The 26,352-nt window shown below is 43.7% G+C and overlaps 2 protein-coding genes and 1 long non-coding RNA gene across 38 annotated transcripts in view, besides 5 other annotated features; 1 reads left to right on the forward strand and 2 right to left on the reverse strand.

The window, feature by feature from the left end:
- Nucleotides 1–897, reverse strand: part of TRIP11 (thyroid hormone receptor interactor 11) — a 74,069-nt gene extending 73,172 nt beyond the window's left edge. For all 4 annotated transcript variants that reach the window (XR_943560.3, XR_001750598.3, NM_001321851.1 and 1 more), the window contains exon 1: nt 385–897. Coding sequence is in view for 2 of the 4 variants with exons in the window: in NM_001321851.1 (NP_001308780.1) it covers nt 385–523 (139 nt within the window). In the remaining 2 variants the exon portion in view is untranslated. The remainder of the gene's footprint in view (nt 1–384) is intronic.
- Nucleotides 639–948: an enhancer, noted in NCBI's record as "active region_8926". NCBI's record gives its function as "activates an Ori minimal core promoter by ATAC-STARR-seq in GM12878 lymphoblastoid cells {active_cell/tissue: GM12878}" and the evidence as "EXISTENCE:reporter gene assay evidence [ECO:0000049][PMID:35858748]".
- Nucleotides 639–1,684: a biological region, named in NCBI's record as "NANOG-H3K27ac-H3K4me1 hESC enhancer GRCh37_chr14:92506403-92507190".
- Nucleotides 897–1,684: an enhancer, noted in NCBI's record as "NANOG-H3K27ac-H3K4me1 hESC enhancer chr14:92506403-92507190 (GRCh37/hg19 assembly coordinates)". NCBI's record gives its function as "activates a minimal SCP1, AML or CMV promoter by ChIP-STARR-seq in primed H9 embryonic stem cells {active_cell/tissue: H9 hESC(primed)}" and the evidence as "EXISTENCE:reporter gene assay evidence [ECO:0000049][PMID:30033119]".
- LOC124903363 (uncharacterized) lies at nt 1,002–24,202 on the forward strand. Its single transcript, XR_007064308.1, has 2 exons — nt 1,002–1,141; nt 24,069–24,202. It is a non-coding gene; the product is annotated as an uncharacterized LOC124903363 (long non-coding RNA).
- Nucleotides 5,613–26,352, reverse strand: part of ATXN3 (ataxin 3) — a 61,808-nt gene continuing 41,068 nt past the window's right edge. For 31 of the 33 annotated variants that reach the window (NR_031765.2, NR_028466.2, NR_028463.2 and 28 more), the window contains one exon: nt 19,390–25,252. Coding sequence is in view for 7 of the 33 variants with exons in the window: in NM_001164779.2 (NP_001158251.1) it covers nt 25,158–25,252 (95 nt within the window). In the remaining 26 variants the exon portion in view is untranslated. Of the gene's footprint in view, nt 5,797–10,440; nt 10,653–11,178; nt 11,375–19,156; nt 19,354–19,389; nt 25,253–26,352 lie in introns of those variants that run through there. The other 2 variants (NR_187583.1, NR_187584.1) reach the window with 1 other exon arrangement.
- Nucleotides 6,830–7,030: a silencer, noted in NCBI's record as "peak2235 fragment used in MPRA reporter construct". NCBI's record gives its function as "represses an SCP1 promoter by STARR-seq MPRAs in K562 erythroleukemia cells {active_cell/tissue: K562}" and the evidence as "EXISTENCE:reporter gene assay evidence [ECO:0000049][PMID:32103011]".
- Nucleotides 15,149–15,349: a silencer, noted in NCBI's record as "peak2236 fragment used in MPRA reporter construct". NCBI's record gives its function as "represses an SCP1 promoter by STARR-seq MPRAs in K562 erythroleukemia cells {active_cell/tissue: K562}" and the evidence as "EXISTENCE:reporter gene assay evidence [ECO:0000049][PMID:32103011]".

Below are 26,352 nucleotides of genomic sequence, written 5' to 3' on the forward strand. Positions count from 1 at the left end.
CAGATATACAATTCTTTAAACTGGGTCAGAATACAGGAAGATGTTAAGAATGAGATCAGCCCCCAAACTGAGGGCAAAGTGGTGGGCGTGGATCAACCAAACGAAAATAAACTCGACTTAACGTAGGAGCAGTTTCACTCTACTGTACTTTGAGATATCCAGAATATTTAAAGAGAGGAGAACCAGGACTCTTCCCCTGGCCCCCAGTGGTCTTTCATCATAGAAAATCTGTTGAGAAGAGGCAAGAGGAGGTGTGTGAAGAAAAAAGGGAGGAGCAGCATTCCTTTGCGACCTGTCCGCGTCTCCTGACTGATGGAAGTAGGGACCAAACGGACGTTCCCAGGGTCTTAGAAAAGCCCTCCCTTCCCTCGCTCCAGCTGTTACCTTCCACTTCCTCCGTGCCCTCCATCAGCATATCCTTTGTAAAGTTTGATATCTGGCCAGTGAGGGAAGCCAGGCTGCCCCCGACTTGACCCAGAGACTGGCCCAATCCGGAGCCGAGGCCCCCAAGCCAGGACGACATCGCGGCGAGTTTAGAGAACGACCCGGTCCGCTCGGAAAAAAGAAAACGTTTAGCGCCGCCGGGCGATCCGACCAAATATCCTTGAACGCCTGCCTTCGCGAGACAGGATACGATAACACAAAGCTGGGTTCTCAGGCAAGGCCGACTCCAGGTTCTGCCTAGAAACGCAGAGGCCTGGCCTGGAATTTTACCAGGGGCCCGCCTCTAGTGACACAGTCACCTACGGAGGGCCTTCTGCTCATTCCCACGAATTCCCACCGTCCAGATTGGGCCACTTCTTTCTCAGCTCTAATGACTTTCCTCAGTTCCGTGGGTTACTCCTGCCAACTCGACGCCGGCCGCCATGACACTCGCTCGGAAAGCGGCAGCGGATCATAGAAAAGCGCCGCGGTGGCGTAGACAGGCCCCGCGAAGCCGCCGGACGTGTCCTTGGCGCAAGGGAGGCTGGGATCGCGGAGGACCGAGCGCGGGCTGGATTAACCGCAGCCAGTGCCTAGCGCAAGGTTAGGTGCATGCAGGCGGCCAGCTTCGGCCGGGGAAGGAATGGCCTGGATAACTGGGGCATCGCGGCGCTCCTCGGCCTCCTGCAGCTGCGTTTCAAAGCAGAGCCGACCCTTGGTGGGTAGTCCGGGGACCCTGCGGACCCTCCTTGTGTTGTTGAAACCTAGTGTTTTAATTGGGACTACACCCAGCAGTGCCGGGAGACTTGGCGGGGACGTTCCACTGCGCAGGAAGTGGCTTCAAATAACTTACACGCGTCACTGTGTCGATTAGCTGCTCCGTGACAGGCACTATGGTAGGAGCTGAGGCTACAAAGATAGAACGGATGGGTTGCAAAAAAAAAAAAGGAAAAAGGAAAAAAGAAAGGATGGGTTGCAAATTCAGGTGTCCAAGCAGGAAACACACCTTCCTTCTATAGGAGAAATCTCCTCTGGTGGCTTTATAGCTCACAATTGAAACCCTACCTTCTTTAACATACGATGAGCTTTTTTCATGAAGCTGCCCTCACCCAAGTAGTTGAAAAACGGACAACCGTTTTTCAAAATGACTCGTTAGAAGACAGCAGGGCAACTTAATAGAGAAGTGCCGTTTAGTGTCAACGCTCCTATGGTATTGGCGGCACTAGCTATGCAAGTGCCCACACCTCCCTCAGTCCTTAGTTACCCACACTGGCTGTAACACACAGAGTCCTACCTTGCTTGCTTCCTTCCCTAAAGGAAGAAAGGTTGTCATGTGACTTTCAAGCAATTGGTGCAGGATACGTGGACACACAGCATCTAGCCAGGGAGACTTCCACATTTTTTGGTTTCAAAAGGATATGATAGATCTGCAGTTCTTTTAAGCATAGCAATAAGTATACTGGCATCTTTCACTTTGATTATATTCACAAGAGGGGCTATCACAGATTGCACAGTTTGTGAACAGAACATTGGGAATGCCTCCAGTATTTGGGATCTGATGGCACCAGGCAGTAGTAATTCTCCGTGAAAGCTGAATTTTTTTTTTTTAAATTTTATTTTTTGAGATGGAGCCTCGCTCTGTGGCCCAGGCTGGAGTGCAATGGCGGGACCTAGGCTCACTGCAACCTCGTCTCCCGGGTTAAAGCGATTCTCCTGCCTCAGGCTCCCAAGTAGCTGGGACTACAGGCGCCCATTCTTCATTTTACTAATGAGAAACCAGTGCCCAGAAATGTTAAGTAACCCATCCAAGGTCATACAGCTAGTAAGTGACAGACCCAGGCAGTCAGGCGTTGGAGTCTGCACATCTAACCGCTGGGCTGTGATGTTCACATGAATGCAGGGACAGCATTTAATAAACACTTCCAGAATGAGATGTGAATTTTATTTTAAGCACATTCAGATATCCAGTGTGACTCCGGGATGTAAAAAAAAAAAAAAAAAAAAAAAACAGGGCCGGGTGCAGGGGCTTACGCCTGTAATCTCAGCACTTTGGAAGGCCGAGGCAGGTGGATCACCTGAGGTCAGGCGTTCAAGACCAGCCTGGCCAACATGGTGAAACCCCATCTCTACTAAAAATACAAAAATTAGTGGGATGTGGTGGCAGGCACTTGTCACGGGCATCCGTGTGAAGAGACCTCCAAACAGGCTTTGTGTGAGCAATAAAGCTGTTTATTTCACCTGGGTGCAGGTGGGCTGAGTCCCAAAAGAGAGTCAGCAAAGGGTGTTAGGGGTGGGGCAGTTTTATAGGATTTGGGTGGGTAGTGGAAAACTACAGTCAAAGGGGGTTGTTCTCTGGCAGGCAGGGGCGGGGGGGTCACAAGGTGCTTGGTGGGGGAGCTTCTGAGCCAGGAGAAGGAATTTCACAGGGTAATGTCATCAGTTAAGGCAGGAATCAGCCATTTTCACTTCTTTTGTGATTCTTCAGTTCCTTCAGGCCATCTGGATGTATACATGCAGGCCTTGGCTCAGAGGCCAGACATTCCTGTCTTCTTATATTAATAAGAAAAATAAAACAAAATAGTGTTGAAGTGTTGGAGTGGTGAAAATTTTGGGGGGTAGTATGGAGAGATAATGGGCGATGTTCCTCAGGGCTGCTTCGAGCGGTATTAGGGGTGGTGTGGGAACCTAGAGTGGGAGAGATTAAGCTGAAGGAAGATTTTGTGGTAAGGAGTGATACTGTGGGGTTGTTAGAAGGAGCATTTGTCATATAGAATGATTGGTGATGGCCTGGATATGGTTTTGGATGAACTGAGAAACCAAACGGAAGACACAAGGTCCAAATAAGAGAAGGAGAAAAACAGGTATTAAAGGACTAAGAATTGGGAGGACCCAGGACATCCGATTAGAGAGTGCCCAAGGGGGTTCAGCATAATTACTTGCTTGGTTGGCAAGTTTTTGGACTCTGTCCTTGAGTTTTTTTATATTGTCATACACCAGGCCAGATTGATTTAGGTAAAAAGAACACTCTTCATTTAAAAATATACAGAGCCCGGCCGGGCGCAGTGGCCCACGCCTATAACCCCAGCACTTTGGGAGGCCGAGGCAGGCGGATCATGAGGTCAGGAGATCGAGACCATCCTGGCTAACATGGTGAAACCCTGTCTGTACTAAAAAAATACAAAAAATTAGCCGGGCGTGGTGGCAGGCGCCTATAGTCCCAGCTACTTGGGAGGCTGAGGCAGGAGAATGGCATGAACCCAGGAGGTGGAGCTTGCAGTGAGCAGTGAGCCGAGATGCGCCACTGCCTGGGTGACAGAGCAAGACTCCGTCTCAAAAAAAAAAAAAAAAAAAAAAAAAAAAAATATATATATATATATATATATATATATATACACACACACATACACACAGCGCCTTCCTTTTTCAGCAGTGAGTAAGTCAAGGCCTTGGCAGTTTTGGAGGACAACTGCAGCCAGAGAGTCAACTTGGGCCTGAAGTACTGATAAAGTTTAAGATATGTCTGTGATGCTAGTGGAGAAGTCATTAGAGAGGCTATGGAAGGTTGTGACAGAGGTTGAAATGCCTTCTATTCCAGTACCGAGAGCAATAGAGGAGGCAGAAAGTCCTAAACCGACAAGCAAGGGAATTAGTGGAATAACCCTTTTTTGTCATGTCGGTGTCATGAGAGGAACAGGAAGCTCTTTGGTCCCATTTGCAAATTGAATTTTGGGATTAAGGAAAATGAGTGTGCATGTGCCTGTCCAGTTAGCAGGTAGACACATGTAGGTAGAGGATCCACAGAGGAAGAAGAGAGCTTGTGCCAGGCAAAACTGGAAATGCAAAGTAAAAAGATGAGAAGGAGTGCTGAAAGGGGTGTCTTGTACCCAGACTCCTAGGGATCCAGCTAGGGCGGCAGCCGTCAGAGGTTGTAATGGGGACTGATGGGGTAACTGTGTAGAGGGAGAGGTTCAATTTTCATGGTGTATGAGAAAACGTCGAGTGTCTATGAGCAACCTTTCACTGTTATTTACGGGGCTGGGTATAACAAGAAGGCCTGGGAGGAGGGTCTGACGAGCAAGGGGAAGGTAGCCAAGGATGGAGTGAAATACAGGGTGTCTTCCTAAGCAATAATTACTTCTAATGTTTTTAAGTTTGCCTGTATTGATAAAAGGCTTATCTGTAATACGGAGCTGGAAGGCTCCAGTTGTTTCAGTGATGTGTGTAGTTGGGCTTTGGAGATGAAGAGTGAATGAACATCAAGAAGGTGAAAGGTTACCCAGGGGAATTCCAGTGGGTCTTTGCTGAGAGATACATAAAGGAGCAGCCACAGGAAAAGTAGTTTGTGTTGTGAGGGATCCAAATGTGGGGGGAGTAGAGTTGATATAAGGAGAAAGGTTTTTTAAGTAAGTGTGGAGGAGGGCGGCAGCTTGCTGATGTGAAATGTCTGGGGAGGCCTTGCTGGACCTGTCTAGAAAGTGAAGAAGTTCTTCAGGAGGGTAAAGATGAGGGCTGTTAAAGGAAATTTGGAGGTGTAGGGAGACAGGAGATGTTGCCCAGTCTGTATATAAGGCGGGGGCAGCTGTGTAGGTGCAGGAAGAAAGGGAAATGCAAAGCCAGCAATTATTCGCTAAGGAGGGATTAGAAACGGCTAGGAGAGAGTAAGATTGATAGTGTGGTGGAGATAGCTGGGGAGAGGTAGAGGGTGGCATAAGAATGGGAATGAGAATAAGAGTGAGTATAAAAGTAAAGAATAGAACTTCATCAGAGTGAAAATATTGGAGGTTGCCCTGCCAGCAAATATCATCTATCCACTCTAAGAGGGAGTTAAGAGTGGCGGTTTGGGGATAGCACCAGGAGATACCAGCTGTGATGGCTTAGAGAAACAGTGTAAACAGGCAATGTAAACAAGATTAGGGCATTTATGAGTAGTTGAGAATAGTGAATGGGAGTATGAGTAAACAGAAGATAGTAGGGATGACAAGTTTTTGGGGTTCAGTCCAAGTAGGGGGGGTGACTGTGTAAAGCCCTGTTGCAAAAAGTAGGGTAAGGATGAATAGAGCTAATAGAATGAAGGGATGTATTAGGCTCATAAGGGTTATTACTGTTCTTCAGAAATGAGAGTGACTTTAAGGGAAGTAGTGGGGAGTACTTGTGACTTCCAGGAGGAAGAAGAGAGATTAGGCTGGTTGTCCGATGGGCACAGCTTTATTCTGGAACGGTGAACCCAGTGGGGAGGATCCTGCAGGCGGACGGCAGTTGGGGTACTATAGATGACTAAGTAGGGTCCAGTCCATCGAGGTTGTAGAGTTTGAGGGGTCAGGTTCTTAATAAGAACTGATCGTCCAGCTAGGGTGTCTTCATATAGTTGGGAATCTGGAGTAGACAAGAGAAGATTAGCAGCCTGGTGGATTTCCTGTCTAGCCTGCCAGAGGACTGGAAGATAGTCGCCTAGAGGGCTGGTGTCTGGAACGAGGTTGGGGCTGAGCAAGAAAGTGCGTCCATATAAAAGTTCAAATGGACTGTACCCTGTAGCTTCTCGAGGACGGGCTCTAATTCTGTGAAGGGCAAGAGGTAAAAATACTGTCCAGTCCTTTTTAAGTTGGAGGCTGAGCTTGGTGAGATGTCTTTAAAAGACCATTAGTCCGTTCTACCTTTCCTGAAGATTGAGGACGGTAAGGGGTATGAAGGTTCCACTGAATACCAAGAGCCTGAGAAACTGCTTGGGTGATTTGACTAGTAAAGGCCAGTCCGTTATCGGACTGTATAAAGGTGGGAAGGCCAAACCGAGAAATTATTTCTGACAGAAGGGAAGAAATGACTGTGGTGGCCTTCTCAGACCCTGTGGGAAAGGCCTCTACCCATCCAGTGAAAGTGTCTTCCCAGACCAAGAGGTATTTTAGTTTCCTAACTCAGGGCATGTGAATAGAGTCAATTTGCTAGTCCTGGGTGGGGGCAAATCCCTGAACTTGATGTATAGGGTAGGGAGGGGGCCTGAATAATCCCTGAGGGGTAGTAGAATAGCAGATGGAACACTGAGAAGTGATTTCCTTGAGGATAGATTTCCATGATGGAAAGGAAATGAGAGGTTCTAAGAGGTGGGCTAGTGGCTTGTAACCTACATGGAAGAGGTTATGAAATGACAACAGAATAGAATGGGCCTGTGAGGCTGGAAGGAGATATTTTCCTTGGTCTAAGAACCATTTGCCTTGTGTGAGAAGAGATTGATAGGTGGAAGTTTCAGTCGGTGAATAGGTGGGAGTGACTGATGAGAAGAAGAAAAACTGGCCGTGAGGGACAGAAGTTAGAAAGCTAGCAGCTTCTTTAGCTACCTTATCAGCATAAGCATTGCCCTGAGCGATGGGATCTGATGCCTTTTGATGGCCCTTGCAGTGAATGACTCCAGCTTCCTTTGGAAGTAAAGCGGCCTTGAGAAGAGTTTTTATTAAGGAGGCAATAATGATGGAGGACCTTTGCGTACTGAGGAAACCTCTTTCTGCCCATATAACAGCATTGTGGTGCAGGATATGGAAGGCATATTTAGAGTCAGTATAAATATTGACATGTAGTCCTTTTGCAAGAGCGAGGGCTCGAGTTAAGGCAATGAGTTCAGCTTGCTGAGAGGTAGTGGAGGGGGGCAGAGCGGTAGCTTCAAGGATAGATGTGGAAGATACTACTATAGCATAGCCCACCTTTGCTGGTGAATGGCGATTAGGCCAGGTGGAACTGCCATCAATAAACCAAGTGTGATCAGGGTGAGGAATAGGAAAGAAGGAAGTATGGGGAAATGGAGTGAATGCCAGGTGGATTAGAGAGATACAGTCATGGGGGTCAGGTGTGGTATCAGGAATAATGTGGGGGCTAGCCTAAAACAGTAAGGTCAAGTTGTTTGGACAGAAAGGCTACAGGGCATGGTCCTGGCTCTTGTGTAAGAATTCCAACTGCACAGCCCTGCATTTCAGCTGTGTGTAATGAAAAAAGGGTTGGGATGAGTTAGGGAGAGCTAGTGTGGGAGCAGCTTTTAGGGCTGTTTTTTAAGGAATGGAAAGGGGAGTGGGGAAAGGATTTAGGATTTATGAGGTCAGCTAGGTTTGCTTTTGTGAGTTTATATAATGGTTTTGTTAGGATGGCAAAACCAGGTATCCAAAGGCAAAGGTATCCAACCATGCCCAGGAAGGAAAGGAGTTGTTGTTTTGTAGAAGGTGTTGGGGTTTGAGAGATCAGTCAGACATGATCAGCAGGGAGAGCACATGTGTTTTTATGAAGAATTATACTGAGGTAGGTAACGGATGGAGAAGAAATTTGAGCTTTGGAGGGGGACATCCGATATCCCTTGGAGAATAAATGTTGAAAAGTATCTTGTTGAGAAGATTCAAAGGAGGGGCTACAAAGTAGAAGGTCATCAATATATTGAATAAGGTGAGAAGCGAAGGGATGGAAAGAAAGTATATCATGAGAAAGAGCTTGGCTGAAGTAATGAGGGCTGTCCCTGAAGCCTTGCGGCAGTACAGCCCAGGTAAGCTGCTGGGACTGATGGGTGTCAGGGTCAGTCCAGGTAAAAGCAAAAGAGGCTGGGATGAGTGGTGTAGGGAATAGTGAAAAAAGCATCTGTGAGATCAAGAACGGAATAGTGAGTTGTGGAGGAAGGTATTGAGGACAAACAAGTGTATGGGTTGGGCACCACAGGGTGGATAGGCAAAACAATTTGGTTGATAAGATCCAGATCCTGAGGTAACCTGTAAGACTTGTCCGGTTTTTGAACAGGTAAAATGGGAGAATTGTAAGAAGAGTTTATAGGTTTTAGAAGCCCATGCTGTAGCAGGCGAGTGATAACAGGCTTCAGTCCTCTTAAAGCCAGTTGTGGGATGGAATAGTGGCATTGAGCCAGGTAAGGGTGATTAGGTTTTAATGGGATAGTAATGGGTGTTTGATCGGTTGCCAGGGAGGGAGTGGAGGTGTCCCATACTTGTGGGTTAAGGTTGGGGGATACGAGAGGAAGAGGCGAAGGAGGCTTTGGGTTGGGAAGAAGGGTGGCAATGAGATGTGGCTGTAGTCCAGGAATAATCAGGGAAGCAGATAATTTGGTTAAAATGTCTTGGCCTAATAAGGGAACTGGGCAGGTGGGGATAACTAAAAAAGAGTACATAAAAGAATGTTGTCCAAGTTGGTGCCAGAGTGGGGGAGTTTTAAGGGGTTTAGAATCCTGGCCATCAATACCCACAACAGTTATAGGGGCAAAGGAAACAGGCCCTTGAAAAGAAGGTAATGTGGAGTGGGTAGCTCCCATATCGATTAAACAGGGGATGGACCTACCCTCTACTGTAAGAGTTATCCAAAGCTCAGCATCCGTAATGGTCCAGGGGGCTTCCAAGGCGATCAGGCAGCATCAGTCTTCAGCTGCTAAGCTGAGAAGATCTGGGAAGGAGTCAGTCAGAGAGCCTTTGGCCAGAGTTCTAGGGGCCCTGGGAGTGGCTGCCGGGTTGGACAGTCCGATTTCCAGTGGGGTCCTGCACAGATGGGACATGGCTTAGGAGGAATCCTGGGCTGGGGGCATTCCTTGGCCCAGTGGCCAGATTTCCGGCACTTGAAGCAAGATCCTGGGGTAGGCAGTCCTGGAGGAATGCCTGGCCGCTGCAGTTCAGGCATTTGGAAGGTCTTGTGTGCTGGAGATGTGGCTGGGGTTTGTCTCACAGTGGAGGCAAGGAATTGCAACTCAGAAATACGTTACTACTTGGCTGCCTCTACTCTATTATTGTACACCTTGAAGGTGATGTTAATTAAGTCCTGTTGTGGGGTTTGAGGGCCGGAATCTAATTTTTGGAGCTTTTTCTAATGTCGGGAGTGGGTTGGGTAATAAAATGCATGTTGAGAATAAGACGGCCTTCTGGCCATTCTGGGTCTAGGGCGGTAAAGTGTCCAAGGGTTGTTGCCAAACAGGCCATGAACTGGGTTGAGTTTTTATATTTGATGAAAAAGAGCCTAAACGCTAACTGATTTGGGAGAGGTCAGATAAAGAAAAAGGAGCATTACCCTTGGCTATGCCTTCAGCTCCAGCCACCTCTTTAAGAAGAAATTGTTGGGCAGGTAGGGGAGGGCTAGTCACAGAAAGAAACTGTAAGCCAGACACGGTGTGAGGAGGGGGTGATAAAAGGATTATAGGGTGGGGGACCGGAGGCTGAGGAAGAATTGGGACCTGGCTCAGCCTGGTGAGGAGCAGCCTGGGGAAGAGGGGAGAGGTCAGATGAGTCCATAGAAAAGGAGGATTCAAAGGACTCGGAGCTTGGGGTGGAGACTGAAGGAACAGACAGGAGAGAAAGAAGAAAGATTTGGGATGAGTCGCACTGGGAGCAGAGACTAGGGAGGGACCAGTGTGTAAAAGAATGCCTGGATCTGAGGCACCTCAGACCATTTGCCCATTTTTCAACAAAAATTATCTAGATCCTGTAGGACAGACAAATCCAAAGTGCTATTCTCTGGCCACTTGGAACTACTGTTGAGTTTGTATTGGGGCCAAGCGGTATTGCAGAAGAAAATAAGGCTTTTAGGTTTTAGGTCAGGTGTGAGTTGAAGAGGTTTTAAGTTCTTGAGAACACAGGCTAAGGGAGTAGAAGGGGGAATGGAGGACGGAATGTTGCCCATAGTGAAGGAAGTAAGTTTAAAGAGAAAGGTAGAGACACGGAGAAGGGGGTGGGTGAGCAGCCAAAGCAGGCGTCCCCGCAATTGACTTGCCACCAAGGGAATGTGGGTGAATGACCAAGACAGGCACCCCCACGGTGATCAGACACCAATGGAGTGTGGGTGAATAATCAGGCAGTCGTCCCTGCAGTGATTAAACACCAAGAGAAGACTGTCTTCTTGAGTCCGTGACCAGCGCCGGAATTTTGGGTCCACGGATAAAATGTGTCTCCTTTGTCTCTACTAGAGAGGAAAAAGAACTGGAATTGGAAGGACAGGGAGATTGAAGGGTAGCGAGAGAGGGAGATTGAAGGGTAGCAAGAGAGGATGGAAAAGACCGCTTACCCGATTTGAAATTCATGAGATGTTCCTTGGGCTGGTTGGTCTGAGGACCCGAGGTCGTAGGTGGATCTCCTCACGGAGTGAGGGCAAGGACAGGGGACCCGTCTCCTGAAGGAGTCCTCCTGTCCCGGGTCTTCAGCACCAAATGTCACACGCGTCCATGTGAAGAGACTACCAAACAGGCTTTGTGTGAGCAACAACGCTGTTTATTTCACCTGGGTGAAAAAGAATGAGACATGTAAGTATCTGCGAAAGAGCAATCCAGGCAGAAAGAAACAAATACCTTGAGGCAGCAGAATCCTTGGCAGGTTAGAAAATTAGAAGGAAGGTAAGGATAGCTAGTGCAGAAAATTAGAAGGCAGGCAAGGATGGCTAGTGCAGAAATTAAGTAATTAACATAAAAGCTATGTCCTAAAAGTTTCTCATGGGGGATTTCTTTCTGTGAGATGGACTGTGACTGAAGAAACTTAATAAATAATGTGATAAATAATGTGATGTGATGTCTTGGATGTGCTTCAAAATAATGGAAGTTGACTTTGCTCTCGTGTGTGTGTGTGTGTGTGTGTGTGTGGTGTCTGTGTGTTTGTATGTGTGTATAATAGAGGTGGGATAGGTGAAACAAGAATTGTCAGGAACTGATAATTGTTGAAACTGGGTGGTGGGTACATAAGGTTCATTAAACTAGTCTTTTGCTTTTGCATATGTTTGAAATTTTTTATAATAAAAAGTTAAAAGACATACAAGTTTGATAGCATTTGAGCTGAAGACATCTCTTCCTTTTTCTGCAAAATATCTCAGTAGCTAATATGTTGCTCTTCATCACTCAATAAGCAGCAAAACCAACCCAGCACAATCTAACACAACACCTCAAACAGAGCCTGTGAACCTCAGTGGCTACAGGTGGTGGGATCGAAGCTGCCCAGCTGAAATTCCAAACCTAGGACAGTGGATAGAACAGGAAAAAAGACAAAAAATAACTATCAGCTGCAAGCTGGTTTCCATTACTCAAGCAGTGGGATCATCAATATTCCTCAAAGGAAAACAGTTCATCTGTTCTTTGTGTTTTTTTGAGACGGAGTCTCACTGTGTCACCCAGGCTGGAGTGCAGTCGTTCCATCTTGGCTCACTGCAACCTCCGCCTCCCAGGTTCAAGCGATTCTCCTGCCTCAGCCTCCTGAGTAGCTGGTATTACAAACGTGCACCACCACACCCGGCTAATTTTTTGGCTGGTCTCAAACTCCTGACTTGAAGTGAGCCATCGGCCTTGGCCTCCCAAAGTGCTAAGATTACAGGCATGAACCACCGCACCCAGCCAGTTCATCTGTTCTGAGAAAACCATCAAAATGAATTTATTTATGCAACTATAAAGCAAAGACTCAGTTTAAAGTAGACTTTAAAATTTAGTCTGATACTTTTCTGAATTTCTAAGCATTAGGCTTATGGTTGCCATTTTCTTATTAATTTTAGACATTACCAACTTATTGAAAAATAAAAGATTTAGCACTCTTGTATTTCCCTTTATTTCCCTTCCTTCTGGGCTTTCAATATGATGATATCATAATTTTTGGTAAAGTAAGTAATCAGTGTTTACCTTCTATGACTATGTAAGTCTTATTCATTGCAGCTAAGTCAAATGTTGTACCAAGATTATATTGCCTTGATTTTTCTACCTTTTGTTCTTCCTGAAGTTAACAGATTCCATTTTTTAAATTTGTACAATTTTCCATTACTACAGAATCTTTCTAAAACTTACCAAGAGAATTGTAAAGTGCTTCTGTTTTCAACAAAACATCAAGAATTCTATCGATTGGCTAGGCTCAGTTCGCTCTACCCAGGACTCTGTTTTCCTGCTCTACTCTACTCTGATTATTCTCTATGCCTTGTTTTCTTCCAAGAAGCTTGTCAGATCTTCTCTTTATTTCTGATGCTCTGAAATTAATAATGGTGTGCTTTGATGTGGGTTTGCTTTTGTTTCATACATTAAGCTGGGTACCCTGAGCCCTTTCAAAAAGGGCTTTTACTTCTGCGATTTATTTTAATTTTTTTTTTTTTTTTTAGTGATGAATGTCTCCTCTCTAGGGAATCTGCTGTTTCTTTTTTCTTTTCTTCTTTTCCTTTCTTTTTTTTTTTTTTTTTTTTTTTTTTTGAGATGGGATCTCTCTCTGTCGCCTGGGCTGGAGTCCAATGGCATGATCTCGGCTCACTGCAACCTTCGCCTCCCAGGTTCAAGCGGTTCTCCTGCCTTAGCCTCCTTAGTAGCTGGGATTACAGGCATGCGCCACCATGCCCGGCTAATTTTTGTATTTTTAGTAGAGACGGGGTTTCACATGTTGGTCAGGCTGGTCTCGAACTCCTGACCTCATGATGCACCCGCCTTGGCCTCCCAAAGTGCTGGGATTATGTGAGCCACCGCACCCAGCCTCTTTCAAAGAGTTTTAACCACACCTCCTGATTTCAGTCTACATCTAACCCCCACCTCTCAGGATACTTGTTGCTTTCCTTTCCTGCATATTGCTAGGAACTCTTTAACACTCAGTATTCAGCCTCCTGGTTCTGCTCATTCCTGCATCAACTTGTCATCCTCCAAAAAACAAAAAAAATGTTCGCATCTCTCGCCGGGTGCGGTGGTTCACGCCTGTAATCCCAGCACTTTGGGAGGCTGAGGCGGGCGGATCACCTGAGGTTGGGAGTTTGAGACCACCCTGACCAACATGGAGAAACCCCGTCTCTACTAAAAATACAAAATTAGCTGGGTGTGGTGGCCTGTAATCTCAGCTGCTCGGGAGGCTGAGGCAGGAGAATCACTTGAACCCAGGAGGCGGAGGTTGCGGTGAGCTGGATATAGCGCCATTGCACTCCAGCCTGGGCAACAAGAGCGAAACTCCATCTCAAAGAAAAAAAAAAAAATTAGCATTTCTCTTCTGTTGTTGTCTCACCTGGAAATGACTGCTAATTGTTCCCCAAAGTCTGTTCTCCCCTTCATATATAGTAATTGAGCCTCCACTTTTTACCTGGATGCATGACAGCCAAGATGCCAGTGCCCATATTGCACTCCCTCATCCCTTTACCACTTTTGTGCACACCAGCCAGCAGTCAGCAGACTGCCTCCAGGTTACTGGAGCCCATACTTTCCAGGTGCCCAGAGAGCTGAAATGCAACCTTATTCAGCCAGAGTTGAAAATTATGCAGCTTGCCTGTTCTGTTTTGGACAACTCTAAGATGTGAATATCCTGCCTCCAGACTGTCTGCAGGACTGAGGCTTTGCTTGATAGGCTCCTCTTGCTTGGCTTCCTTCTTTTCCTATTTCCACTTTCTTACTCCCCTATGCCCTTTCCATTTCCTCCTGGAACACTTTTAAAAAATCATTTTCAGCCAGGCACAGTGGCTCACGCCTGTAATCCCAGCACTTTGGGAGGCCGAGGCAGGCAGATCACCTGAGGTCAGGAGTTCGAGATCAGCCTGGCCAACATAGTGAAACCCCGTCTCTACTAAAAATACAAAAAAGCTGGGCATGGTGGCGCATGCCTGTAGTCCCAGCTACTCGGGAGACTGAAGCAGGAGAATTGCTTGAACCTGGGAGGCAGAGGTTGCAGTGAGCCGAGATCACGCCACTGATCTCCAGCCTGGGTGACAGAGTGAGACTCCATCTCAAAATAAATTAATTAAATAAGTAAATAATCATTTTCATAGGAATCATTATCTCAGGACCTGTAGGGTACTTAAGCTAAGATGCATGGCAACCCAGAATAAAAACCACCTTGTAGCTAGTAGTTGTCATGTTAAGTTCTGGCCAATGTAATGTAAACGGAAGTAGTATGCACAACTTTGAGAAGGTAACCCGAAAGAAAAGGTACATAGCCTTTTTCTGCTCTCCTTTTTTTTTTCTTTCTTTCTTTTTTTTTTTTTTAATTATTTGAGATGGGGTCTCACTCTGTTGCCCAGGCTGGAGTGCAGTGGTGCGATCATAGCTCACTGCAGCCTCAAACCTCCAGGCTCAAGGTATCCTCTCACCTCAGCCTCCCGAATAGCTGGGACCACAGGTGCATGCCACCATACCCAACTAATTTATTTTTATTTCTTGTAGAGATGAGGTCTCCCTGTGTTGCTCAAGCTGGTCTCAAACTCATGGGCTCATGTGATCCTCCCGCCTTGGCCTCCCGAAATGCTGGGATGACAGGTGTAAGCCACCAAACCCAGCCTCCTTTCTCTTTCTGATTGCTGGGCTGCAACATGAGCACCAACACAGCCATATTAGATCTATGAGCTGACCCTAGCCATGGAAGCCATGTACATAAAGCCATTATGTCAGAGGCCTGTAAACCAGAGCAACTCCATTTTGGTTTTTTTTTCCCCCGAGACGGAGTCTTGCTCTGTCATCCAGGCTGGAGTGCATGGCGCGATATCTGCTTACTGCAACCTCCGCCTCCCAGATCCAAGTGATTCTCCTGCATCAGCCTCCCAAGTAGCTGGCATAATAGGCGCACACCAACCACGCCTGGCTAATTTTTGTATTTTTAGTAGAGATGGGGTTTTGCCATGTTGGCCAGGCTGGTCTTGAACTCTTGACCTTGTGATCCACCCGCCTCAACCTCCCAAAGTGCTGGGATTACAGGCATGAACCACCGTGCCCGGCTGCAACTCCATCTTGAATAGGAGCTGGGTAAAATGAGGCTGAAACCTACTGGGCTGCATTCCCAGATGGTTAAGGCATTCTAAGTCACAGGATGAGATACAAGGTCAACACAAAATACAGGTCATAAAGTCCTTGCCGATAAAACAGGTTGCAGTAAAGGAGCTGGCCAAAACCCACCAAAACCACAAAGGCCACAAGAGTGACCTCTGGTCCTCCTTGGTGCTACGCCCCCACCAGCACCATGACAGTTTGCAAATGCCATGGCAACATCAGGAAGTTACCCTATATGGTCTAAAAAGGGGAGGCATGAATAATCCACCCCTTGTTTAGCATATCATCAAGAAATAACCATAAAAATGGGCAACCAGCAGCCCTCAGGGCTGCTCTGTCTATGGAGTAGCGATTTTTTTATTCCTTTACTTTCTTAGTAAACTTGCTTTCACTTTGCACTGTGGACTTGCCCTGAATTCAAGAACCCTCTCTTGGGGTCTGGATCCGGACCCCTTTCCTGTAACAATTATACAGAAAGAGCAGATTCCTGACACTGTGATGCTGTATCATCCCCGGACTGGCAGTCTCCACATTTCTTGAAGATGAGAGGAGAAAAAAAACCCATAGCATGTAAAGTCACTGTTATATTAGTTTGTTTTTGTTTTTGTTTTTGTTTGAGATGGAGTCTTGTTCTGTCACCTAATCTGGAGTGCAGTGGCGTGATCTCGGCTCACTGCAACCTCCGCCTCCCGGGTTCAAGCAATTCTCCTGTCTCAGCCACTTCAGTAGCTGGGATTACAGGCGTACGCCACCACACCCGGCTAATTTTTGTATTTTTAGTAGAGATGAGGTTTCACCATGTTGGTCAGGCTGGTCTCAAACTCGTGACCTCGTGATCCGCCTGCCTCAGCCTCCCAAAGTGCTGGGATTACAAGGTGTGAGCCACCGTGCCGGGGAGGATTTTTTGTTTTTTTTACAACCAAACGTAATCCAATGAATGCATCTCCTCTCCTGGTCCCTGTGTTCTTGTGGGTTTATATATTTTTCTTTACTTTAACCTAGGTGAGATTTTGGAAGGGAGCAAATATAGTGATCAATCCTCTATATTTTTTATTGTGATAAGATATATATAACACAAAATTTTGTAACCATTTTCAGTTGTTAAATGGTTATACGGTTCACCGGCATTAAGTACATTCACGTTGTTGTGCAGCCATTACAACTGTCCATCTCCAGAACTTTTTTCATCTTCCCAAACTGAAACTCCATACTCGTTAAACAACTCCTAATTTTCCCCTCAACCATCCCCCGGCAACCACCATTCTACTTTCTGTCTCTATGAGTTTGACTATTCCAAAGATCTTATGTAAATGGAATTATACACTATTAATCCTCTGCATTTGACTAGAAGCTCCTGGAAGATGTGTGAGACGGTGGCTCAAAGCAGTTAAATCTGGCCAGGTTAGGTGGCTCATGCCTGTCATCCCAGAACTTTGGGAGGCCGAGGCGGGTGGATCACCTGAGCTCAGAAGTTCTAGACCAGCCTGGGCAACATGGCAAAACTGCGTCTCTACTAAAAATACAAAACTTAGCTGGATGTGGTGGCCTGCGCCTATAATCCCAGCTATTCGGGTGGCTGAGGCAGGAGAATTGCTTGAGCCCAGGAGGCAGAGGTTGCCGTGAGCCAAGATCGTGCCACTGCACTCCAGCTTAGGTGACAGAACGAGGCCCTGTCTCAAAAAAAAAGGCAGTTAAATCTTCTCTGGGTCTGGCAAAAGGGGTTTCAGTGTTGGAGACAGAGATGCCCCTGTGCAGAATTCAAACACAGCTTTTGGAAAAAATGGATCTGGAGAAGGCACGGAAGCAATGGAGGTGGCATAGAATCTGCTCCCTCCTGGCCTCCTACGCTAGTTTGAGCCACTTTAGAGGGGTGAAGAACGAGCCTTAGCAGGACTCTGGGCACAAGAGCTCCTTGGGGCCCATGTAGTGACATGTGGCTCAGGGCTGAGACAAGGGCCATTCCTCTCTGCTCAGCTTGGATTATAGTACCTGTCTGGTATTCAAGAATTTGACATTTTCGGGCTTGGTATTTTCCATCTTATTTTTTTAACCAGGTTACTGCCGGTATGTAAAAAAGCTACTGGTTTTCTTTGATGGATAAATGAATAAGCAAAATGTGCATATATCATACAATGGAATATTATTCAGTTTTTAAAAAGAAGAAAATTTGGACGTATGCTACAACATGGATGAACCTTGACATGCTAAGTGAAATACACTAGTCACAAAAAAACCCTACAAATACTGAATGATTCCACTTATAGGAGATACTTAGAATCATAGAGACAAAGTAGAATGGTAGTTGTCAGGGGCTGGGGAAGGGAGGAAGGATAGGGAGCCATACTGACTGACTGAGCTCCTCTCTACCCTAATACAAGAGACTCTCATAGGCAGGAATATCATCACCCCTATTCAGCCTGAAGAATACAGAAGATGGATCTTCATCCCTCTGCAACCCTTAGGATTAAGGGTTTTCTTATAAAAGGGAGTAGGGAAATATCAGAGGCATTTGAACCAGAGCAACTCCATCTTGAATAGGGGGTTGGTAAAATGAGGCCAAGACCTACTAGGCTGCATTCCCAGATGGTTAAGGCATTCTAAGTCACAGGATGAGATAGAAGGTCTGCACAAGATACAGATCATAAAAACCTTGCTGATAAAACAGGTTGCAGTAAAGAAGCCGGCTGAAAAAGCCAAAATGGTGATGAAAGTGACCTCTGGTCCTCCTCACTGCTACACTCCCATTGGCACCATGACAGTTGACAAATGCCATGGCAATGCCGGGAAGTTACCCTAAATGGTCTAAAAAGGGCAGGCATGAATAATCCACCCCTTGTTTAGCATATCATCAAGAAATAACCAGCCAGGCGAGGTGGCTCATCCCAGCACTTTGGGAGGCCAAGGCGGGTGGATCACGAAGTCAAGAGATTGAGACCTTCCTGGCCAACATGGTGAAACCGCATCTCTACTAAAAATACAAAAATTAGCTGGGCGTGGTGGTGCACGCCTGTAGTCCCAGCTACTCAGGAGGCTGAGGCAGGAGAATTGCTTGAACGCGGGAGGCAGAGGTTGCAGTGAGCTATCATGCCACTGCACTCCAGCCTGATGACACAGCGAAGCTCTGTCTTAAACAACAACAACAAAGCGGGGGGAGGGGGCGCGGGGGTGGACATGGCAACCAGCAGCCCTCAGGGCTGCTCTACCTATGGGGTAGCCATTCTTTTATTCCTCTACTTTCTTAATGAACTAGCTTTCAATTTATGGACTTGCCCTGAATTCATTCTTGCACAAGATCCAAGAACCCTCTCTTGGGGTCTGGATCGGGCCCCGGTCCTGTAATGTTATTATGTTTCAAAATTTGTGCCCAATCCTAATTAAAGTTAAAATGAATAGTCAACCCTCATAAAATTTGAGGACAATATATTCCTCAATCAGTCTAGGTGGATTCCAATCACTACATTTGGATTCTGGTGTCCAGAGTTGGATAAAATGAGGAAAAGCAGCACTTAAAAATTTGATGTGCTTTGTTTGGCCCTCAGTATTAAAAATCAGTTGAGCAAACATTTATTTGACTTTTTTAAGGCAGCATTGTCTCTATTTTTTTTTAATAGAGATGGGGTCTCTTTATGTTGCCCAGGCTGGTCTCAAACTCCTGGGGTCAAGTGATCCTTCCACCTCGGCCTCTCAAAGTGCTAGGATTAAAGGCATGAGCCACTGGCACTGGGCCAGTTGAACAAACATTTAAAAAATATATTTCAAATAAAAATTTGGAATTCTTAGCTTCTCTTGGAAAAGACTGAGGATCCAGTAATAATGGACCTTTTGGCAGGCAGTAAGCTGGAATAGAATATCAATGGACTGTGCTGGCCTGCGTTATTCATATTCATCACTGCAGCTGGTTAAGAACAATCCACACAACAGCGCTTCTCAAGCTTCACTCTATACTTTAGTGTCCTGGGGATCTTGTAAAAAGTGCAAGTTCTGATTCAGTAGGTCCGAGTGTAGCCTGAAACTCTGCATTTCTGAAAGACTCACAGGTGATACAGATGCTGCTGGTCCTCCATCCATACTTTTTTCCTGTTTTGTCGCCCAGGCTAGAATTCAGTGGCAGGATCATAGCTCACTGCAGCCTCGAACTCCTAGGCTCAAGCAATCCTCCTGCTTCTGCCTCCTGGGTAGCTGGAACTGTAGATGCAAGCCACCAAGCCCAGCTCTAATCACACTTTGAATAGCTATGAATTAACAATAAACACAAATTCAAAAGGAAATAGAAAAGCAAACATTATCTTTATTTAATAATCTTTGATATTTAAAATACAACTCATTGAACATCCACACTAACAACAGAATCCTGTGTTCAACAGTGCTTTGGAAGCCCGGCTTTTCTAACGACCAGACAGGAAGGCCTGTGTGTGTAATAACAGCAAATGAACTTAACGAGGGAGCACACACAGAAGGGCTGCAGGGCTGGGTCCTGAGCAAGCGGCACTGCCACAGTGCACTTGTATCATGGCCAAACAACAATGCTTTTTGTTTCAGATATTTTCTGTACTTGAATTTCAAATATTTATACAGAACAGTAATTTTTAAAAAGTTATTCCTAATAGCCCAGTGTTGTAAAAATTAGATAATCACATTTAAAAATGTATGTTTTCCTCTTTCAAAAAAAAAAAAAGCATTAAAAAAATTCAGAAAACATTCCTTGAACTATGCAAGAGACAATTGAGAGCTTCCTAAATGCATCAGGAATATCCATTTATATTTTACTAATGTTTCTCATTGCTTTGTCTATGAATCCACAGGCTTAAAATGTTTTTTGATATGCTATTAAACATGCCAATTACGACAAATTTAGAAGTTACGTTATTAGCACTAATTCTTAAAATGCCAGACCACTTGGAAAAAATAATAATAGCAAAGATTTTCTTCAAATTAAAAAACAAAATCAAAATTCTAGAATTTACCAACGATGTCAATAATCTTCACTCATGAAAGCAAATTAGAACAAAAATATTTTTATTATGTTTAAGACTAAAAAAATACAAAGCCAGGTCATTTTTTAAAGCAAAAAGATGCTGGTTATAAAGGGGCCAGAAATAAAAGAAAGTTTTTATTTTGAATATGAAAAATAAAGTTATTTACATTGCTGACATGATTAGTTGATCCAATCTGGTAGTTCTTAATTAGGGTCACATATATATCCATACTTAAGGACTCGATACAACAAACAATTCACTTTGAAAACAGTGGCCCAAGGCCGGGTGTGGTGGCCTGCACCTGTAATCCCAGCACTTTGGGAGGCCAAGGCAGGCAGATCACCTGAGGTCAGGAGTTTGAGACCAGCCTAACATGGTAAAAGCCCGTCTCTACTAAAAAAAACAAATATTCGCCAGGTGTAGTGGCAGGTGCCTGTAATCCCAGGTACTTGGGAGGCTGAGGCAGGAGAATCGCTTGAACCCAGGAGGTGGAGGTTGCAGTGAGCCAACATCGTGTCATTGTACTCCAGCCTGGGCAGCAGAGCTAGACTCCGTCTCAGAAAAAAAAAAAAAGAAAGAAAGAAAGAAAGAAAAAGAAAATAGCGGCCCAACGCCTCTTCGTTTCCGGATTAAAAAAAAACAAACAAACCTTTAAGATGGAGTTTTACTCTTGTTGCCCAGGCTAGAGTGCAATGGCACGATCTCAGCTCACTGCAACCTCCACCTCCTGGGTTTAAACGATTCTCCTGCCTCAGCCTCCCAAGTAACTGGGATTACAGGTGCCCGCCACCATACCTGGCTTAAGTTTTGTATTTTTAGTAGAGATGGGGTTTCACCATGTTGGCCAGGCTGGTCTCAAACTCCGGACTTCAGGTGATCCACCTGCCTCAGCCTCCCAAAGTGTTGGGATTACAGGCGTGAGCCACTGCCCCCGACTGGGATAAAGTTTTTAATAGGAAGTCATATATATATACATATATATATACACACATATATATATATATATATATATTTTTTTTTTTCAGAAACAGTGTCTCACTCTGTTGGGCAGGCTGGAATGCAGTGGTGAGCCCTTGGCACTCTGCAACCTCTGCCTCCTAGGCTCATGCGATTCTTAGCCTCCTGAGTAGCTGGGATTACAAGTGTGTGCAACCACGCCCGGCTAATTTTTGTATTTTTAGTAGAAACGAGGTTTCACCATGTTGCCCAGACTGGTCTTGAACTCCTGGCCTGAAGTGATTCGCCCACCTCAGCCTCCAGAACTGCTGGGATTACAGGCGTGAGCCACTGCACCCAGCCGGGAGATCATCAATATTAACTATTGAATCCTCGTAAGAATTTAAAACATCAAGATTTATTTTTCTACTTAAGATTTTAAAATTATCATATTTTGATTATGCACTGAATCTATTTTTTATCTGTACAGGTCCAATGGGCCGGTTTTAAGAATTTAGTAGCTCTTGGCACTAGCATGATTTTTTTTTTTTTTTTGAGACAGAGTCTCACTCTGTCGCCCAGTCTGGAGTACAGTGGCACCATCTTGGCTCACTGCATCCTCTGTCGCCAGGGTTCAAGCAATTCTCCTGCCTCAGACTCCCAGGTAGCTGGGATTACAGGCACCTGCCACCGCGCCCAGCTAATTTTTGTAGTTTTTAGTACAGATGGGGTTTCACCATTTTGGCCAAGCTGGTCTCGAACTCCCGACCTCGTGATCCACCCACTTCGGCCTCCCAAAATGCTGGGATTACAGGCGTGAGCTACCACGCCCAGCCGCCACTAGCATGATTTTAAAAATAGTATCAAAAATTCAGACAATCAAAATGTGATTTAGGCTCTGACTGAAATAAAATTTATTTTATTCAACTTAATATTAAACAATATGGACTACTGGTAGTTTTGTCTGCAATGATACTCAACTGGTTTTGAGTTTTTTTCCTCATTTACTTTGGCATCATGAATAAAGTTAAGAAAAATCAAGTTTTAAGGACAAAAAAAAAAAGCACCACCTTAAATAAAATATTCTGTGAATTGTAAATTATTTGGCCAAGATCCTAGTATAGAGTTTACCTGCAGCAGCCTTTTCAAACAGTTTATATTACTGAAATATTTACATGATTACCGTAAAAAACATAGATTGATGGTTTTAGATCAGAGATTAACTATTCTGAATTTTAAAAACATAAATTACTCATTAAATCCATGACATCTGAAAATATGAAAGTGGTATTTCCAAGGCTTAAACTTCTACTAGCATCACCACTGTACATACTTGATCCCAGTAATACAAATTATACATTAGAAAAATGATACCAATAGTTTAAATATTAAACATTAAGATGTTCCCAATTAGTAAAACAAAATGGAAATCTTTAATACACTTCTTAGCAGGACAGTTCTTGTGAATTTAGTTGTTCCTGACTTTCTTGCAGGTGGTTTACAGTAAATGGCAGTACCTGATGTATAAACTATAGCTTTGAATAATTTTTAACTTTTTTGATACTATGGTTACTTGCACTGGCATCTTTTCATACTGGCCAATCAATTAAGAAATGGAATCTAAACAGTCAATTAAATTTAAGCCAACCCCACCAAGATGACAGTTCACTAGTGCTTCTGGATCTGCCTGCTAAATGTAACAATTTCACAACAAACTACACAAACACATTCAAACGCATCCAGTGTGTGCTCAGCTCTGCTTTAAAAACTCTCTAGCTGGCCAGGCGCAGTGGCTCATGCCTGTAATCCCAACACTTTGGGAGGCCAAGGCAGGCGGATCACCTGAGGTCAGGAGTTCGAGACCAGCCTGGCCAAACATGATGAAACCGCGTCTCTACCAAAAATACAAAAATCTGCCGGGTGTGGTGGTGGGCGCCTGTAATCCCAGCTACTCTGGAGGCTGAGGCAGGAGAATTGCTTGAACCCGGGAGGTGGAAGTTGTAGTGAGCCGAGATCATGCCACTGCCCTCCAGCCTGGGAGACATAGCAAGACTCCGTCTCAAAAAAAAACAAAAACAAAAACAAAAACTCTCTAGGAACTAAAAGTCAAACATGCCATATTTTCTTAAGTGCTTTAACTAGGGTATATATGAACTTTATAAACTCTAAAGTTAAAACTTTAAAATGCATATTGGTTTTCTCATTTTTATATTAGGTAGCTCATCAATTCAAGTGTATGAAAAGTTTAATGTAACTTTTCAATGGAAAAAGGTAATGAACAAATATCCATGGAAAATATGACAAACACACTGGTAATAATTAACATAAATGTTCAGTCTTAAAATATTTAGCTTTTTAAATCTTGAGGGAGTAGTACTAAACTCCAACATCCCTTGCAGTTTTAAAGTTTTATAATTCTTCTGAAACATTTTTAACTATTAAAAGAAACTTTAGATTTTAAAATAAAGCTATCCTTTTGTGTAAGGGAAACTTCAGAAAACTGATTGGCACAAAATAATGACTTAAAAAATCTGTTATATCGAAGAAAAAGCTATTTTATAATCATAAATAAAAGATATTTTTTCTTCTCTTTTCAGTTAGTTAGCAATAAATCCTAGATCAAAAAACTTTCCCTGATAAAATGTGTGCAGCCACACACCAGGAGGGCAATATACCATATTATAATTTTCGAAGTTGTCAGCTGAAATTTCTTGGATTTTAGCTTATGAACAATTCAACATTCAAAAGAGCTTCAAAAGGAGATGGAGAATGAGGGATAGGGAACACTGAAACTAAAACATCAATTTCAGAGACATGGTTTTCACCAAAATGATACTATCCTATTGACCCAGCAAGAAACTCTCTGTACATCTCAATTAAAGAGAATATTTATCAAAACTATGGACTTTCTTATTTATAGATCCACTAAGTACTGTGACTTCCATTGTTCTTAAGCTATCTAAACATGATGCAAGTGTCAAATCACAGTATAAATTTAAACATATTTTCATTAGTAAATTATTTTCATGTTCCAGATCACCATCTTTGACAAGCTATACCTACTAAAAGATGTGAAGCAGACACCTACATTCCATGACTCAACTGTAAAGAGAACACAAAGCTCCAGTCATAGGAGAAAAAATAAAATAAAACTGCTATTAAAATTGAAGGCCAAATTTCATGTATCATACATTCATGGTGGGTACGTATGTTTAGTCTTCTAACAGAAGGAGACTTGCCTGCATACTATGCTTCTCCTAGTTTTCTCAATTGGAGAAGAAAGGAAAAAATAAGGCGCAGGAAGAAGGGGTTGCAACAAAGCTGTAAGGTTTTGATATAAGTGAAAAGACATTCATAAAGCATCTGGGAAAGCACATGCTCACACATTTTAAAAAATGCTCATTTATTCTCAAGTACTTGTGCAAGGCTGATTTCAGAGTTTAGGAACGCACCAGTCATGAAATAATGATCCCATCGTAGGGCTTAAAACGCTAAACCTCAGAAAAGATTACCATCTTTCAAAAGAATTGTGGGAAAATAATGAAAACCAGGTAGCAGAAAAGTTGTGATCAGAGAAAACAACACAAGAAAACACTGGAGCACACGGTATACAGTTGAAGGGAGAACTGTTCATCCTTCTAGAACCATTACTATTATCAACATCAGGAAAGTAGAGATACTTTCCTGAAAGGTTAATTTGGTTAATAAGAAATGAAAGCCACTATTACATGATGTGAGCCAACTTACCTACAAGACAGAAAAAGAAAACAAACTATATGGAAAAAGCCTGAGGCGAGAGCTAATTAGCTAGTCTGCAAAAAGATCCAAGAAAAATGCCCTAACTTTAGACATGTTACATATTGCACACTCAAAAAAGAAAAAGAAACATTTAGAAAACTATTTTAAATGTCTTTAATTGCTGAATGCCTCTTTGGCTAATATTTGGAAGATCATTATTTAGTCCTACAACCGACGCATTGTTCCACTTTCCCATCATTTTGTTTGCAAACCGCTAAAAGTCTTATTTCCTCATCTCTTTGACACATTACCAAAGTGGACCCTATGCTGTAATCACACAGGATAATGTTGGAAAGTATGAATATCTAAATTATTTTTTAAAGGTATTATTTTTTTCCTTCTGTTTTCAAATCATTTCTGACAGTTTCTAAAGACATGGTCACAGCTGCCTGAAGCATGTCTTCTTCACTCATAGCATCACCTGTTGGGAAACAAAACCACATTTCTTTAAAATTTCCAGAAAATTCTCAAAGTCATCAAAAGGCAAGTTCTCAGAAAATGTATTTCTATTTGAGCACGAGTTTCTTTTTTTGATTTAATACATATAAAGCAAAATTTACTTTTATAGTTCTATATATTTTGACAAATACACCATCAAGATACACAACCATTCCATTGCCCCAGAAAATTCCCCCATGCTGCCCCTTTGTGGTCGATCCCCATTTCCTAATCCCAGATAGCCACCAGTATATTCTCTGTCCTACAGTTTTATCTTTTCCTGCACGTCATATAAAAGGCATCAGTAGGTATGTAGCCTTTTGAATATGGCTTCTTTCACGTAGCATAATGCATTTGAGATTTGTTGTGTATATCAACAATTCATGTATTTACAAAAACCCAACTTTCTATTTTGAAAAACTGTCAATTCAAAGGAAGTTGTAAAGATATTTAAGAGAGGTTTCGTGTACTCTTTTGCCCAATTTCACCCAATAGTTACATCTTATGTAACTAAAGATCAAACTAAAACCTAGATATTGACATTGGCACAACGTTATATGTAGTTCTACATGGCATTTTATCACACGTGTATTCATGTAACCACCACCACTACAATCAAGACATAGAAGTGTTATAATACCACAAAGATCTCCCTGCTATCGATTTATATTCCCACCCACCTATCTTTTACCCACTTTCTCTAACTAGTGGAAACCACTAATATGTTCTCTATCTCTATACAGCTGTCATTTTTAGTTGAACAAGTGGAATCATACAGTGTAAGACCCTTTGAGGCTTTTTTGCACTCAGCATAATGCCCCTGAGATCCAGCCACGGTGCTGCCTGTGCCAACAGTGGGTTTCTTTTTAATCCTGACAGTAGAGTATTACATGCTATGGATGTACTACAGTTTGTTTCACTGTAGGACATTTTGGTTGTTTCCAGTTTTTGATTATGACAAGTAAAGCTGCTATAAACATTCATGTACATGTTTTTGTGAGAATATAAATTTCTATTTTTGGCTGGGCACAGTGGCTCAAGCCTGTAATACTAGCACTTAGGGAGGCCGAGGCAGGCAGATTG

Source organism: Homo sapiens, chromosome 14 (genome assembly GCF_000001405.40).
Source record: "Homo sapiens chromosome 14, GRCh38.p14 Primary Assembly".
Taxonomy (NCBI): domain Eukaryota; kingdom Metazoa; phylum Chordata; class Mammalia; order Primates; family Hominidae; genus Homo; species Homo sapiens.